At 38.1% G+C, this 16375-nt stretch overlaps 1 long non-coding RNA gene across 2 annotated transcripts in view; it reads left to right on the top strand.

The window, feature by feature from the left end:
* The window catches only part of LOC105373304 (uncharacterized), a 60450-nt gene that overhangs the window by 19408 nt on the left and 24667 nt on the right, over positions 1-16375 (top strand). The window lies entirely within an intron of this gene.

Below are 16375 nucleotides of genomic sequence, written 5' to 3'. Positions count from 1 at the left end.
AACATTTTAAAATATTTCGAGCTAAGTAAAAATGAAAAGAAATTTTATCAAAGACTTGATATACTGCAAAAGCAGTGCTTGACAGAAATTATGGCATTAAATGCATATATTATAACAGAACTGTAATCTAAGCTTCCACCTTAGGAACTTGATAAAGAAGAGCAACTTAAGCCTAAAGCAAGCAGAAGAAAATAAAAAATAAAAATTTGAGCAGAAATTATTATAAAAATTTGAAAGAGGAATAAAAATAGAAAAAAAAAAATCAGTGAAACCAAAAGCTGGTTCTTTGAAAAGATTAGTAAAATCAATAAACCTCCAGCCAGGCTAAGCATGAGAAAAAGAGAAAAGGCATAAATTACCAATGCAATGAAATGAGATGAAAAAAATGAAATGAAATGAAATGAAGTGAAAGGAAATGAAGTGAGAGGTCATCACTACTGGTCCCATGGACATTTAAAGATAATAATGGAACACTATGAACAACCAATTCTATGCCCACAAATTTGATAACTTAGATGAAATAGGCTAATTTCTTGAAAACCACAAACTAAAAAAGCTCACACAAGGGGAAATAGATTACTTAATAGGCCTGTATCCATTGAAGACACTGAATCAATAATTAACAAACTTTCCCCCAAAATCACCAAACCCGGGTTGTTCTGTGGCGTATTCTGCCAAACATTTAATGGAGAAATAATACCAATTCTCCACAATATCTTTCAGAAAATAAAAGCAGAGGCCCTTAAATTGATACATACTCCTGCTCCCTCCAATGCATACATTTGCCGCCTTCCAATTTCCTAGAAAGTTGTATGCCTGTTCAGCCCATCTTCTGGAATTGACTTCCACAAATTATAGGGCTACATATACATCAGATTTGGGAACAAGAGCATCCTTCCACTCTGCGTCTTCCCATCTCTCAATATACAAACGCTGCCAAAGCTATACTCTTATTCAGTGTCCTCATTGTATTAAAAAGTGTTCGACATTTGCTGTTTCTAATTCTTCTCCTCCCATTTCTCTTGAACCAACTCCAATCAGATTTTTGTCCCCAAGATCCCACTGAAAATGCTTTTGTTAATGTTGCTAATTACTTCCATATTGCTGTAGCCAATGGTCAATTCCCATTCTTCATCTTACATTATGTATTAGCATTTGATATAATTCCTCACTCCCTACTCCTGGAAATATTTTTTTACTTGATTTCCAGGACATTGCTCATTATTGGTTCTTCACCTATAACATGGTCCTCTTTCTTAGTCTTTTTTGTTCCTCCTACTAATTCAAATCTCTACAGATTAGACAGCCCCAGGACTCAATTCCTAGACCACTTTTCTTCTCTATTTACTTTATCCCCATGTAATCTTTCTCACCTTGTGTTTGTATTACGATCTATACAACTCTTCAACTGCCTGCTTGACATTTCCTCTTGGCTGTCTGGTAGACATTTTAAATTTAACACATTTGAAACCAGCTTACTGATCTACCGTTAAAGCAAACAAGAAACAAATTACAGCAACAAAAACCAGACAAACAAATACAATGCTGCATCTTTGATTTTCTTCATCTTAGTTGATAGGATTTTTTTTTTTTTTTTTTTTGAGACAGGGTCTCAATCTGTTACTGAGGCTGGAGTGCTGTGGCACAATCGTAGCTCACCAGCGTCGATCTCCCAGGCTCAAGTGCTCCTTCAACTTCAGCTTCCTGAGTAGCTGGGACTACAGGTGCATGCCACTGCAGCCTGCTAATTTGCTAAATTTACTTTTTGTAGAGATAGGATCTTATTATGTTGCCCAAGCTGCTCTTGAACTCCCAGGCAAGCAGTCCTCCCAACTCGGCCTCCCAAAGTGCTGGGATTACAGGTATGAGTGCCCATGCTCCTCCAGTTCATGGCAATTTAATCCCTCTAGTTGCACAGAACACAAACCTTGAAATAATCCTTGACTTATCTCTTTCTTTTGCTCTTTAAATATAATTAATCTGGAAATCCCGTTGACCCTCCCTTCAAAAAATATTTCAAACTTCTCACTCCTTCCAATGCTACTACCCTGGTCCAAGCCATCATCATCCCTCAACTTGTTCATTGTAATTATCTTTAACTGATTTTACTCTTACTCTTTTACAGTCTTTTCTCAAAAATCCAGAGTAATCTTTTTAATACCTAAGTCTCTCGTATGTTTCTTCTGCACAAAGTCCTCTAATGACATCCATGTCACTTAGAATAAAAGCCAAAGTCCTTCAAACGGTCTACAAGACCTTGCCTTTCTGACTTCCTCTTGTACTACTTATCAGTTCAATAAGTTATAGCCCCTCTGAGCTCCTTGATCCTTGAATATACTGGACATGGTCCCATCTCATGGTCTTTGTACTTGCTATTTCCTCTCCATAGGATGCTCTACTTCCTCATCTCTTTCAAATCTGTTCTCAAATATCACCTCAGGGTGATTCACTCTGCCCATCCTATTTAAAATTGCAACCAACTACTCCAGCATTCTTCCTCTGCTTTGGCATGCTTTATATTTTTCATAATATATCTTTAAAATAATGTATAATTTAAGTAGATTAATTTGGTTTCTTCAGTGTCTCACACTTCTAGAAAGTAAGCTTCATAAGGGCAAAGGATTTTGTATCTCTTGATCACTGTTATGTCACCGGCGTCTAGTATTAGAGAGCCTAACAAATAATATATACTCAAAAAAAGTTGGTGAATTTTAAATCATGCTACACCTGGACTGATTTCAGGGCTACTCTTATCTAGACATAGAACACCCCTGAATTCATTCATTTTTACCATTTTTATCTCACTGCCACTGAAGTCAGGTGATTTGTATTGCTAATTGACACTCTCTACCTATAAGTCCCAGTTTCTGCTGCCGTCATTTAGGGCAAACTTGTCCAATGCTCACCTTTATGGATCTCTTATATGTTTGAATGCCACTAGTCATTTCTGCAAACTCGGTGCTACAGACCACAACTCATAGTTTACCATCATAGTGTGCCTCTAAATAATGTATCCCTGCTCCTCCTGTGAGGCTTTCTTTCTTATAATCATGTTTTAGACTTAAGTTTCTAAGGCCTATTAGGAAAAGCTTTTTAATCATATCTGTATGCTACTTTAGAAGGGTCTAATAGTAAATATATAAGGAACTCTTGTGCTATAATATCACACATTTAATTTTATTCCTGCAACTATTTCATCTCCTAGGACAAAAAAAAAAGTGCTTCTTGGGAGTGGGTTTGGGGTGAACTGAAGACCGTGGACTGAGTATGCCTTAATGTTTTTAGAATGCCACATATTGTACCAATACTTACTCTTCTCTAATCTCAGTCTCTATTGCATGGTTTGACTCATGTTGCTAGATTCTATATTCTACCATGTTCTATTCATTTGCAGGGCAATGAAATCATTTCTGTTGTGCTTTCCTCATATTATTTGACAGATAGGCATCTATGCATAGCATGTAAAGTCTTAGTGTACAGATAAGTCAAGTTATTTTCTAGGAGAGGAATTGCATATAACAAGGGTCTTATAAAGGATGACACTGCTAAGGTCTAGTCAATACAGACAGTCTCCTCCACCTATGTGTCAGATATATCTATGAAAGTGTTTGTGTGACAAAGTGAAAGCAGCTTTATTTTCATGAAGCCAGGATTCTTTTTTCTCAGGAAGATTGTGTCCTAACAGTATCAAAAAATAATGAATTCTGGGGTGTCTCTTCAGCTTTATCTGGGGAAATGTTGTTCAAAAAAAAGTCACTATACACTTGCAGACTGGTGGCACTGGGAAAGTAGGGTTCTGGTATAGTCGATAAGCTCTGAGACCTGACTGTATTTCACACCTTTAGTTATCCATCTGAGAAACACTTTATCATTACAATAGTTAGGATCAGGATCTGCTGCAGGTGAATAAATAATTCAAAATTTCAGTTTCTTAAATACTTTAGATATGTATTTTTCTTTCATGTAAAACTCTGAAGCTTCACAGTTCAGGGGTGACATGTCAGCTCTGATCAATGAAATCCTCAAAAACTTAAGCTTCTCCAGCTCATTATCCACCATGCTGAGTGTGGCCCCCATTCCCAGGTTGGAAGCATCACCTGCATTCCAGGAAGTAGGATAGAGGGAAGGGTGAAGAAAAAGATACAAAGTGTAAACTCCAGCACTTTTAAGGAAAATTCTCAAAAGTTGTCACATAATGCTTCTACTTTTATCTCATTGTTCAGAAATTAATTACAGACAACATGCAGAGATGTTCAGAAATCTATTCTTTATTTGGGCAGCCTCATTCCTAGCTAAAAATACTATTATTTGGATGATTGACTCTAAGAGCCAGAGCTATGGTTTGAATGACTGTGTCCCCTCTAAAATTTACCTTGAAACTTAACCCCCACCGTGACAGTAGTAAGAGGTGGGGCAGTATTAAACGATTAGGCCATGAAGGAGCCCTCATGGATGGTATTAGTGCCATATAAAAAGGGTTGTAGAAAACTAGCTAGGCTCTTTGCCCTTCTGTCTCTTCTGCCATGTGATGACACAGAGTTAGTTCCCTCCAAAGGATGCAGCCAGAAGGCACCATCTTAGAAGGAGAGAGCAGTTCTCACCAGATGCCAAATCTGCTGGTGTCTTGAGCTAGAACTTGCGAGCCTCCAGAACTGTGAGAAATAAATTTTGATTATCTATAAATTACCCAGTCTTTGGTATTTGTTATAGCAGCATGAATAAATTAAGGAAGCAAGTAACACACTTAAGAAGAATGGAGCCTCCTTCTGCCACAGTCCTTCTCAATTAAGCTACTTTTCAGTCATATATATGTGTAAGACAATATCAGTGTGCATGTGTGTGCGTATGTGTGTGTGTCTCTAGTAGCCTTATGAGAGAGGCAGTATCCGATGAGATAATAGCTAAAAGCATGGACTTGATTCTGCTCAATTTTGCTGTGAACTTCAAACTATTCTAAAAATAAAGTCTATTTAAAATTTTTTTAAAGCATAGACTTAAGTCAGCACACCTCAGATTTAAACTCCAATTCTTCCACTTATAAGCTCTTTGACTTTGGGCAAGTTATTTCACCTCCCCAAATCTCAATTTCCCATCTGTGGAGTAGAAATAATACTGCCAGCTCCTGGTGCTAGTGTAATTTTCATCTCAGTAATGTATATAAATTGCTTAAGCACATTGTTTAACATATAGTTCAATAAATAGAAGCATCTATTGGTATTTTATTATATACATGTATGGTTATTCACATAAAAACTTACCCAAATATCCATATAGAAGCTGTTCAAACAAGATAATCAAAATTGGCATACATTTTAGAGATTCGGGCAAGATGGCTGACCACATGCAGCCAGGTGGAACAGCTGCCACCAAGGGACCAAGAAGACTGGCACATTCCTAGCAGATCTTTACAGAGAAGGCACTGAGAGTGGATGGAGGGAAGACACAGAAGCTGGGCTGAGTGGGGAGGAAGCTGGGAGCTGCATGGGGCTACCACAAACCATGACTCCTTCTTGGCCCCCCAACAACTCCAGGATAATGGGTGAGGGTGAGTTGAACTGAAAGAAGCAACCCACTTTCTCCAAGTGCCTCTGGAATCCAAGCAGACGGAGACACCTCAACCACCATGGACACTTGAGTGGGCAGGGATAGCTGCTTAGAAAAGTAGTAGGGACAGCACACCAGCCAAGGAAAAGCCCAGAGGTTTTGCTGCGGGAGAGTCTGTTGCTGAGCATGGCCAGAGATGCCCATGCCCCCAGGCTCCACTTGCTCCCACAGGAGACTTTAATCCTAGGGGAACTGTCAGACCTGAACTCTGCAAGGTGGTCTTGACCATCAGAGGAGGCCCATCCAACCTGAGCACCCCTTGGGCTGCTAGCCTCTCCTGGAGTCCCAGTCTAGCCATGCCTACTTGCAGTGCAGCCTCAGATGCTTTGGGGGCTCACATCATAGCTCCTGCACTGGTCAGTGGTGCCTGACAGGGCAGAGATACTGCAGCGTGGAGACCAGGGCCTCATACCAGCCCAGCCTCTCCCTCTCCCCACTGCAGCTTCCCCTAGGCCCACCTCCAGCCCCCACAATACTTTGCCAGTGTGTGTGAGTGCGGGTGAATTTTTGCCTTACCTGCCCCACCAGGGCGTATGTGCACATTTCCCCTGCCTTGCCTGTGCTGACGACGGGAATGCACTCTGCCGCATCTCTCTGCCTTACCGCCATTGCAGTCTGAGCCATGATAGGCATAGAGCCCGCCAGCCTGGACCTGCCAGCACCCCACTTCTGCCTCAACACTGCCGGGCCTGGAGAACAGCAGACCCTCCCCCGTCCTGAGTGGCCAAAGAGGGTACACACAGACCTGAGCTTGCCAGGGCCCTGCCCCTGTGCTAACACTACCACCAGCACACATCCACCAACTGGTCTCCTGCCCCCTTGAGCCATGGTGCCTCTACTGCTGCTGTGAATGCCTGGATGGAGGCAAGCACCCATACCTACTAGCGCTCTCCCGTCGTGCTGCTGTTGCTGCTGCTACTGCTGGCATGTGCAAACGAGGAGAAACCTTGCTGCCAGCGCCCTACAAAATGCTTTGGCTGGCGCCATCCATCAGAATGTGGTGACCAGCACTCTGAGAGCATCTTGGGCCCCCAAGTGCAGTGGGTTCCTAACCTTGAGGAGCCAGAGAACAAAGATGGCCCTGATACTAGTCCCTGAAGTTAGAACACACAGTATAGGAGTTGGTAGCTGAGCCTTGGCCCCCTAAAAACTTCCACAAACTAAGCCATTTGACTGAATCCATCTTAAACCACAACCAAACCTCAAGGTCATCAAATAGTATAAAAGAAAAAAAAATTCCAAAGGACAGCAACTTCAAAGATTGAAAGAACACCAGCCCACAAAGATGAGAAAGAACAAGTGCAAGAACTCTGGCAACTCAAAAGCCAGAGTACTTCCCTTCCTTCAAACAATTGCACTAGATCTTTAGCAAAGTTTCTCAACCAGGCTGACATGCCTGAACTGACAGAAACAGAATTGAGAATATGGATAGAAATGAACATCATGGAGATGCAGGAGTATGTTGAAACCCAACCAAGGAAGTTAAGAATCACAATAAAACGATACAGAAGCTGACAGACAAAATAGCTGATATAGAAAAGAATGTAACTGACATGATAGCGCTGAAAAACAAAATATAAGAATTTCATATGATCACAAATGTTAATAGCAGAAATTGAAGAAAGAATCTCAGAGCTTGAAGACTGCTTTCTGATATAAGACAGTCAGACAAGAATAGAGAGAAAAAAGAAAAGCAATGAATCAAACCTCTGGAAACTATAGGATTATGTAAAGAGACCAAATCTATGACATATTGGTGTCCCTGAAAGAGATGGAGAGAATGGAAGCAACTTGGAAAACATATTTCAGAATATCATCCATGAGAATTTCCCCAATCTAGCTAGAGAGGCCAATATTCAAATTCAGGAAATGCAGAGAACCACACTAAGACACCCCACAAGAAAATCATAGCCAAGATGCATAATCATCAGATTGTCCAAGATTGAAATGAAAGAAAAAATGTTAAGGGCAACTAGAAAGAAAGGTCAGGTCACCTACAAAGGGAAGCCCATCAGACTAACAGTAGACCTCTCAGCAAAAATCCTACAAAGCCAGAAGAGATGGGGGGAAATATTCAACATTCTTAAAGAAAAGAAATTTCAACCCAGAATTTCATATCTGGTCAAACTAAGCTTCATAAGTGAAGGAGAAATAAGATCCTTTTCAGGCAAGCAAATACTGAGGGAATTCCTTACCACCAGACCTGCTTTAAAAGAACTCCCAAAGGAAGCACTAAATATGGAAAGAAAATATCGTTACCAGCCACTACAAAAACATACTTAAGTACACAGACTAGCAACTCTATAAAGCAACCACACAAACAAGTCTGCATGCTAACTAGCTGACAACATGACAACAGAATCAAATCCACACATATCAATACAAACCTTGAATATAAACAGGTTAAATGCCTCAGTTAAAAGACACAGAGTGGCAAGCTGGATAAAAAAGCAGGACCCAATGGTACGCAGTCTTCAAGAGACCCATCTCACACGCAATGACGCCCATAGCCTCAAAAAAAAAGGGATGGAGAAAAATCTACCAAGCAAATGGAAAACAGAAAAAAGCAGGGGTTGCAATCCTAATTTCAGACAAAACAGACTTTAAACCAACAAAGATCAAAAAAGACAAAGAAGAGCATTACGTAATGGTCAAGAATTCATTTCAATGAGAACACCTAACTTTCCTAAATATATATAAACCCAAAACAGGAGCACCCAGATTCATAAAGCAAGTTCTTAGAGATCTTCAAAGAGACTTAGACTCTCACACAATAATAGTGGGAAACTTCAACACCACCATTGAGAGTATCAGACAGATCAACGGGACAGAAAATTAACAAAGAAATTCAAGACCTGAACTCAGCACTGGATCAAATGGACCTGATAGACATCTACAGAACTCTCCAACCCAAAACAACAAGATACACATTCTTCACACAGCCACATGGCGCATACTCCAAAATCAACCACATAATCAAACATAAAATGCTCCTTAGCAAATGCAGAAGAACTGAAATAATAACAATCACTCTCTCAGACCACAACACAACAAAATCAGAAATCAAGACTAAGAAAATTGCTCAAAACCATACAATTAAATGGAAATTGAATAGCCTGCTCCTGAATGACATTTGGATAAATAATGAAATTAAGGCATAAACCAAGAAGTTGTTTAAAAGTAATAAGAACAAAAATACAACATAACAGAATCTCTGGGAAACAGATAGGGTATTGTTAAAAGGGAAATTTATGGCACTGAACACTCACATTAAAAAATTAGAAAGATCTCAAGTTAACAACATAATATCACAACTAAAAGAACTAGAGAACCAAGATCAAAACAAACTCAAAGCTAGCAGAAAACAAAAAATAATCAAAATCAGAACTGAACTGAGAGAGATTGAGATAGAAAAAAACTATTCAAAAGATCAGCAAACCCAGGAGCAGAGTTTTTGAAAAAAGTTAATAAAATATACCACTAGCTAGACTAATAAAGAAGAAAAGAAAGAAGATACAAACAAACACAATTAGAAACGACAAAGGGGTTATTATGACTGACACCACAGACATAAAAATAACCATCAAAGAATATTATGAACACCTCTATGCACACAAACTATAAAACAGGGAAGAAATGGATAAATTCCTGGAATCCTATACCCTCCCAAGACTGAACCAGGGAGAAACTGAATCCCTGAACAGACCAATAACGAGCTTTGAAATTGAGGCACTAATAAATAGTGTAGCTACCAAAAAAAGAAAAAAGAAAAAAGAAAAAAAAACAGAAAGCCCAGGAACAGATGGATTAACAGCTGAATTCTACCAGATAAACAAAAAAGAGCTAGTACCATTCTTACTGAAACTATTCCAAAAAATTGAGGAGGAGAGACTCGTCCTTAACTCATTCTATGAGGCCAGCATAATCTGGATACCAAAATCTGGCAAAGACACAAAAATTTCAGGCCAATATCTTTGATGAACATCAATGCAAAAATCCTCGGTAAAATACTAGCAGACCACATCAGCAGCACATCAAAAAGCTTATCTACCATTATCAATTAGGCTTTATCCCTGGGATGCAAAGTTGGTTCAACATATGCAAATCAATAAATGCAAGTCATCACATAAACAGAACTAAATACAAAAATCACATGATTATTTCAATAGAGGCAGAAAAGAAAAATCTAAAAGAAAAATGCTAAAAGAAATCAGAGGTGACACAAACAAATGGAAAAACATTCCATGCTCATGTATAGGAAGAATCAATATAAATAGAATGGCCATACTGTCCAAAGCAATTTGTAGATTCAATGCTGTTCCTATGAAACTAAAAATGATGTTCATCATAGAACTACAAAAAATATTTTAAAATTCACATGGAACCAAAAAAATAAAGCTTGAGTAGCCAAGGCAATCCCAAGCAGTAAAAAACAGAGCTGGAGGCATCATGCTACCCAACTTTAAAATATACTACAAGCCTGATGTAAGAATTAAAAAAAGAGGAGTGAAACATGAAGGGTGGCTTTACAGTCAACAGGGACAGGTTTATTTTAAACAAACCTGAGAGGGGCTGCTGGTAAAGTTAGGTCAGAGCCACGCTCTCTTACAGACTAAGAGTTTTTAAGGATTCAGAGTGGGAGAAATTATCAGAGGCTTAGACTGCTTCTGTGTCTCTTTGTAATGCTTATCTGAGAGAGAGAGTTGTGTGTTTGTTCCCATACATCTTTCTGCAGCTGCAGGCATATCCCCTGAGTCTGCTTGAGCTTCCCTATCTGCACGTGAAGGGAAATGAATGTGCTTATTAAGGCCCGGCCCACTGTTTTACTGGGGCCCATTGTATGAGAGTGAAGTTTGGCAAGAGACTTTCCCCTTACTTCTCTCTGTGCCCGAGCTGTCTTATCTGTGTTTTACTGTCTGCTCTTTCTGTCTGCTTGTAGTTAGAGGAGAAGTGATTTCCTTGAAATGTATGAGGCTAGAAAGGGAGCTGGAACTTAAAGTGTCAGTGTTTGTCCAAGATGATGGTGCTCCTGCTCTGTCAGCTACAGTAATCACAGCAGCATGGAACTGGAGAAAAAAACAAACACACCGATGAATGGAACCAAATAGAAAGCCCAGAATTAAAGCTGTGCATCTACAGACATCTGATCTGCAACATAGCTGACAAAAACAAGTAATGGTGAAAGGACTCCCTGTTCAACAAATCATGTTAGGATAACAGGCTGGCCATATGCAGAAGATTGAAACTGGACCTCTTCCTTTCACCACATACAAAAATAAACTCAAGATGGATCAAAGACTTCAATGTAAAAGGTAAAGTGATTAAAACCCTGGAAGACAACCTAGACAATGCCATTGTGGACATAGGAATGAGCAAAGATTTCATGATGCAGATGCTGAAAGCAATTGCAACAAAAGCAAAAATATACCAATAAGATCTAATTAAACAAAAGAACTTTTGCACAGCAAAAGTAACTATCAACAGAGTAAAAAAACAACTTGCAAATTGAGAGAAAATTTTTGCAAACTATGCATCTGACACAGGTCTAATATCCAGCATCTATAAGTAACTTAAAATAACAAGAAAAAAAAGCAATCCCATTAAAAAGTGGGCAAAGGACATGAACAGACACTTTTCAAAAGATGACATACATGTGGCCAACAAACATATGAAAAACAGCTCAACATCACTGATCATTAGAGAAAAGCAAATCAAAATCACAATGAGATACCATCTCACACCAGTCAGATTGGCTATTATTAAAAAGTAAAAAAAGAACAAATGCTGGTGAGGTTCTGGAGAAAAAGGAACATTTATACACTGTTGGTGTGAGTTTAAATTAGTTCAACCATTGTGGAAAACAGTGTGGTGCTTCCTCAATGACCTAAAAACAGCACTACTATTAGGCACAGCAGGCCTGTTACTCAGTATATACCTAATGGAATATAAGCTGTTCTACCCATAAAGACACATGCTCGTGTATGTTCATTGCAGCACTATTCACAATAGCAAAGACGTGGAATCAACCTAAATGTCCATCAATGATAGACTGGATAAAGAAAATGTGGTACATATATAGCATGGAATACTATGCAGCCATAAAAAAGAAACAAGATTATGTCCTTTGCAGGGACATGGATGGAGCTGGAGGACATTATCCCTAGCAAACTAATGCAGGAACAGAAAACCAAATATCACGTGTTCTCACTTGTAAGTGGGAGATAAATGATGAGAACACATGGACACATATAGGGGAAAAACAGACACCAGGGTCTGTTGAGGAAGGAGAGTGGGAGGAGGGAGAGAATCAGGAAAAATAACTAATGGGTACTAGGCTTAATATCTGAGTGACAAAATAATTTGTACAACAACCCCCCATGACATGAGTTTACCTGTGTAACAAACCTGTACATGTATTCCTGAACTTAAAAGTTTAAAAAATTGGCATTTTATATGATTTTTCAGAGAATGTCAATTTCTGAAATGACCTTAAAGTTAGGAGAGCAGAGTTTTAACTTAGATGTCATTGGGCAATTCACTTGCTACTTTTTTCTTTTTCTTCTTTTCCTTTTCTCCCTTCCTCCCTCCTTTCTTCCCTTGCTCTGTCTCTTTTTCTTTTTTTTTTCATTCCTTCTTTCTTTTTCCATTTATTACTACTTTGTAGTGAGGTATAAAGATCAAGTACTCCCCTCTTTAGCCTCTACCCACTAGATGCCAGTAGCACCATCCCCTACCCAGTTGTGACAACCAAAATTGCCTCCAGACATTGCCTAACCCCCTGGAAGGCAAAATTTCCTTCCATTTTCACCACTACTTTTGGCAATAAAATGTTGAAAAATTAAATAGTAGATTTATCAATTATAAATGTGAACCATTTAACAAAAATTGTATTGAAAAACAGGACTACTATAAATTTGAGGCATTTTTTCTTTCCAGTCCCCGAGTGTATAAAGTTATGTTATAAATTTGCAATGATCACAGCAGCATAGAGGGATGACAAATGAAATTCAGAAAGCTAGGATTTTAAATAAAAGGACAACGTTCTATAATGCTGCAATTGTTGTATAATCTATGGTCCTATAATTGTTGTAAATAACATGGTATGAAATGAAATAATGAAACTGAATGGCTTCTATGTATCCCACCCCTTCTAAATGACCACACCCAACCCTTCAAAATCCCAGGTTCTGAATACTTCTTTAAACAAGGAGGTAAAATTTTAGGAGAAAAATGAAGCTGGAATTTTTCATTATTCTTGGTGAACTCTCAGAACCTCATTATATCTGTTTCCACAAAATAATTGAACTCATGCACACATTTCTCATACTTGAGCCTACAGCTCCACTTAGTGGTTTGTATGGTTCATAAGCAAAGGAAGTTTAAGTGGTTTTAAATTGTCCTTAGCCTAGTAGAAAAATAAATGCTGTTTGTATCTTCTCAATTTGGTAAAACATTTTAAATAATCAAGTGCAGTAGAACTATAGTCCAAATATCAAACAGTTTTAGTTTCATTGATGCTTGGGGAAAAATCATGTTCCCTCTGAAACATACAGCATTGAAAGCCTAATCTCAAGTATCCAAGTCAGAGAACTCCTTTTCTCCCTATCCTGCCCTTTCTACTCTGATAGCTGTGATTAGATCACAGTAGAGGAGTCAAAGGGAAAAAAAATCAGCTGAAATAATAGGATAAAGAAACGTTGGCGAAAGTTTTGGATGAATGACATCCAAACATTCCATGCAGAGTTTATAAAAGGTATTTTTTAAGGAGAGAGGCTTTTATTATTTTATTGTTAATATGTCCACATTACAAGTAAGATGACTATAAAGCAGAAGTAAAATCATGTGTATTCCTAGATCTATGTAGATAATCACTTTTAACATTTTGATGTGTCTTTTTCTATGTATATTCTCTATATAATAAACTATTTTTCTACCTAAAACCAATACTTAAACTGAAGATCAATCAATGGTGTTAAAAGTCAGAATAGTGATTACCTCAATACAAGGGTAAGTATTAAATGGAAAGAAGTTGGAGAGAAATTATTGGAAGCATTGGGAATGTTCAATATCTTGATATGAGTGATGGTTACACACACATGTACACATGCATGTATGCATGAGTGTATGTGAATAACTGATTCATTACAATTAATATCTATAGTGTATGTTACATATCAATAAAAATAAATCTAAGAAAAAATAAATTGAAGATTAATTTCAATCCTAATTGAGAAACAATGCCCATTATTTATTTTTTCATAATTGAAAATTAATACGTGTGCATGACTAAATATTCTAAGAGTACAAATAAATACAAAATAAAAATTAGATATTCCACCCCAGTCAGGCACTGCTTTCTCTCCTTAGTGGCAATATTTATTAATGTTAAAGCTACTGTGTAATATAATAGATAATATAGATAATATAATTCTCAATTATACTGTGTATTTTTTTGAACTTCGCATTATCTCTGTAATAAATCTGAGGGATGTTTCTGTATTGACATACACAGATATGCTCTGTTTTTGTTAATGGCATAGTATTCTACTGGATGGATTCACCATATATTTTAAAACCAATTGTTTATTGATGGAAACTCAGTGTTTTTTCTCCTAGTCTGGTGCTTTATTACAATCAATGCTGCAACAAACATTCTTGGGTATATACTTGTACACATGCGTGAATATATCTGTTGTATTTATTTCTGAAAGTAAAATCGCTAGGTCAATGGGAATGTGTGTGCTAAAAGGTATTTTCAAGTTGCCTTGCAATGGGATTGCAACAATAGCATATGTAATAGCACATTACAAATGGTATGATATCAAAATCTGTAACCTTTGCCAATCTGACAGATGAAAAATGCGACCTTTGTTCTCATTCCCATTTATTTTGTTATGAGTGGGCCAAACATGTTTTTGTAAGTTTTTAAGTTATACTATTTCTTTTGATGATAAGTTTGTTCATATTTTTAGCCTACTTTTTATTGGGTTCGTCTTAGTTTGGGTTCCACTGAAAGCCAAGCCTGCTGCAAGAACTTGGATTCAGATAGTTTATTTGGGATGTAATTTCAGAAAACAGGAGTTGGAGAGTTGTAGAGTGAGATGGAGAGGAAGAAAGGACAGTTAAAGGATACATCATGTGGATCACTACTATAGGCTAAATTCCACCAGGACCTTCTGAGAAGTGTGTACAATGTCTCCAAGCATTGTCCACCTGAGGGTTCAGAGTTTGAAAATATTTCTTGGTTAGTTTCTGTCCCCCACTGATTGAGCATTACTCACAGGTAGTGTTAAATCAGCCATATATTCAGGCTGTGCTTGCCTCCCACGGTATTGGAAAAGGCTGTGAAACAGAAAGTAGAGATAACTCTCTTTCCCTGATACGCCAGAGACTTCAATCCTGCACTGGGAGATAACCAGGGAAGCCTAGCAACACAAGCAAGGGGGCTCCACTCCAATAATCAACCCAGCCTGGGAAGCTTCTTTTTCTCCATGGGCACGAGACACTCCTTCCTTATCCAGAGACACTGGTTGCCTGTGTGGCACCAGGAAGAGGGATTTCAACATCAGAACCATTCAGGCTAAAAGTCTCTGTACCTCTATAGTCCTGAGATTCCCCTTTCCCACCCAGAGAGACTAGGGCACCAGTAAATGAATAACCACAATGACAAGAGCCTAGCCAAAGAAGTGCTCTTTATCTTCCACAGTCAGGGAAAAGAATGCCACAGCAACCTCCTTGCCAGGGAAGCCCGTTTACCTTCACGGCCTGAGAATCCCTTGCCCCACCCATCAACACCAGGCACCCAGGCCTAGGGAAACCTCTTCCACTCCACTGACAAGTAGCAGTGGGAGCTGCAGCAGCACCAGATAAACTAAGATCATACTAATACTGCAAAGTCTCTAAAAATTAAGCTGTCATTATAATCACAGACCACAAAAGTTGGCTAGCATCTGCATGCTAAACCTAGGCATGATGACTGCCTGCTCACATAAAAGATATAAATAGGAGTCACAAAACACAATCAACATGACGAGGAAGCAATAAAAAGCCTGTCATATCAAGGACTAGGGAAATCAGTAATCTATTTGGAAAAGACAATCAACAGAAACCAACAGCAAGATGAATCTAATGTTGTAACTGTCTGACAAAGATTTTAAAGCAGTTATGAAATACTTCAATAATTAATTAAATGTAAACCTAGAAAATTTCAGAAAAGAAATAAAGTTATAAAAATAACCAAATGGAAATTATAGAAATTAAATATTAGAAATAAAAGGGAACATGCTGGATTGGCTCAAAGACAGAGTAAAGATGACACAAACAGAATTAGTGAACTTGAGAAAGATCAATAGAATTTATACATTCTGAATAATAAAGATAAAATAGATGCAATAAAAATGAACCAAATCTGAAGGACCTGTGGGAGAATAACAAAAAGCTAACATTTGTGCCATCAGAGTTCCAGAAAAAGAGGTGAGGGAGACAGAGAGAGAGAGAGAGAGAGAAACTGAGATCATTGAAAACAATTTGAATTCTTAATCAAAGGAGAAGCCAAATGTAAAAATTTGGAAAATTCTCAGACTGGCCATGTAAATAATTTTTAAAAAATAGTATTTAGGAGAGAAAATCAAGAGTGTGGCCAAGATACCTTTGATGATGAGGTTAGTATGAATAGAAGAAAGCCAGATGCTATCTTTTTTTCCTTCATCTTTTATTTTAAGATCTGGGGTACATGTGCAGTATGTGTAGGTTTGTTACATAAATAAATGTA

The sequence above is a fragment of the Homo sapiens genome, chromosome X (genome assembly GCF_000001405.40).
Source record: "Homo sapiens chromosome X, GRCh38.p14 Primary Assembly".
NCBI lineage: Eukaryota > Metazoa > Chordata > Mammalia > Primates > Hominidae > Homo > Homo sapiens.
Note: the sequence above shows the minus strand (reverse complement) of the source record. Positions and strands in the feature narration are given on the sequence as shown.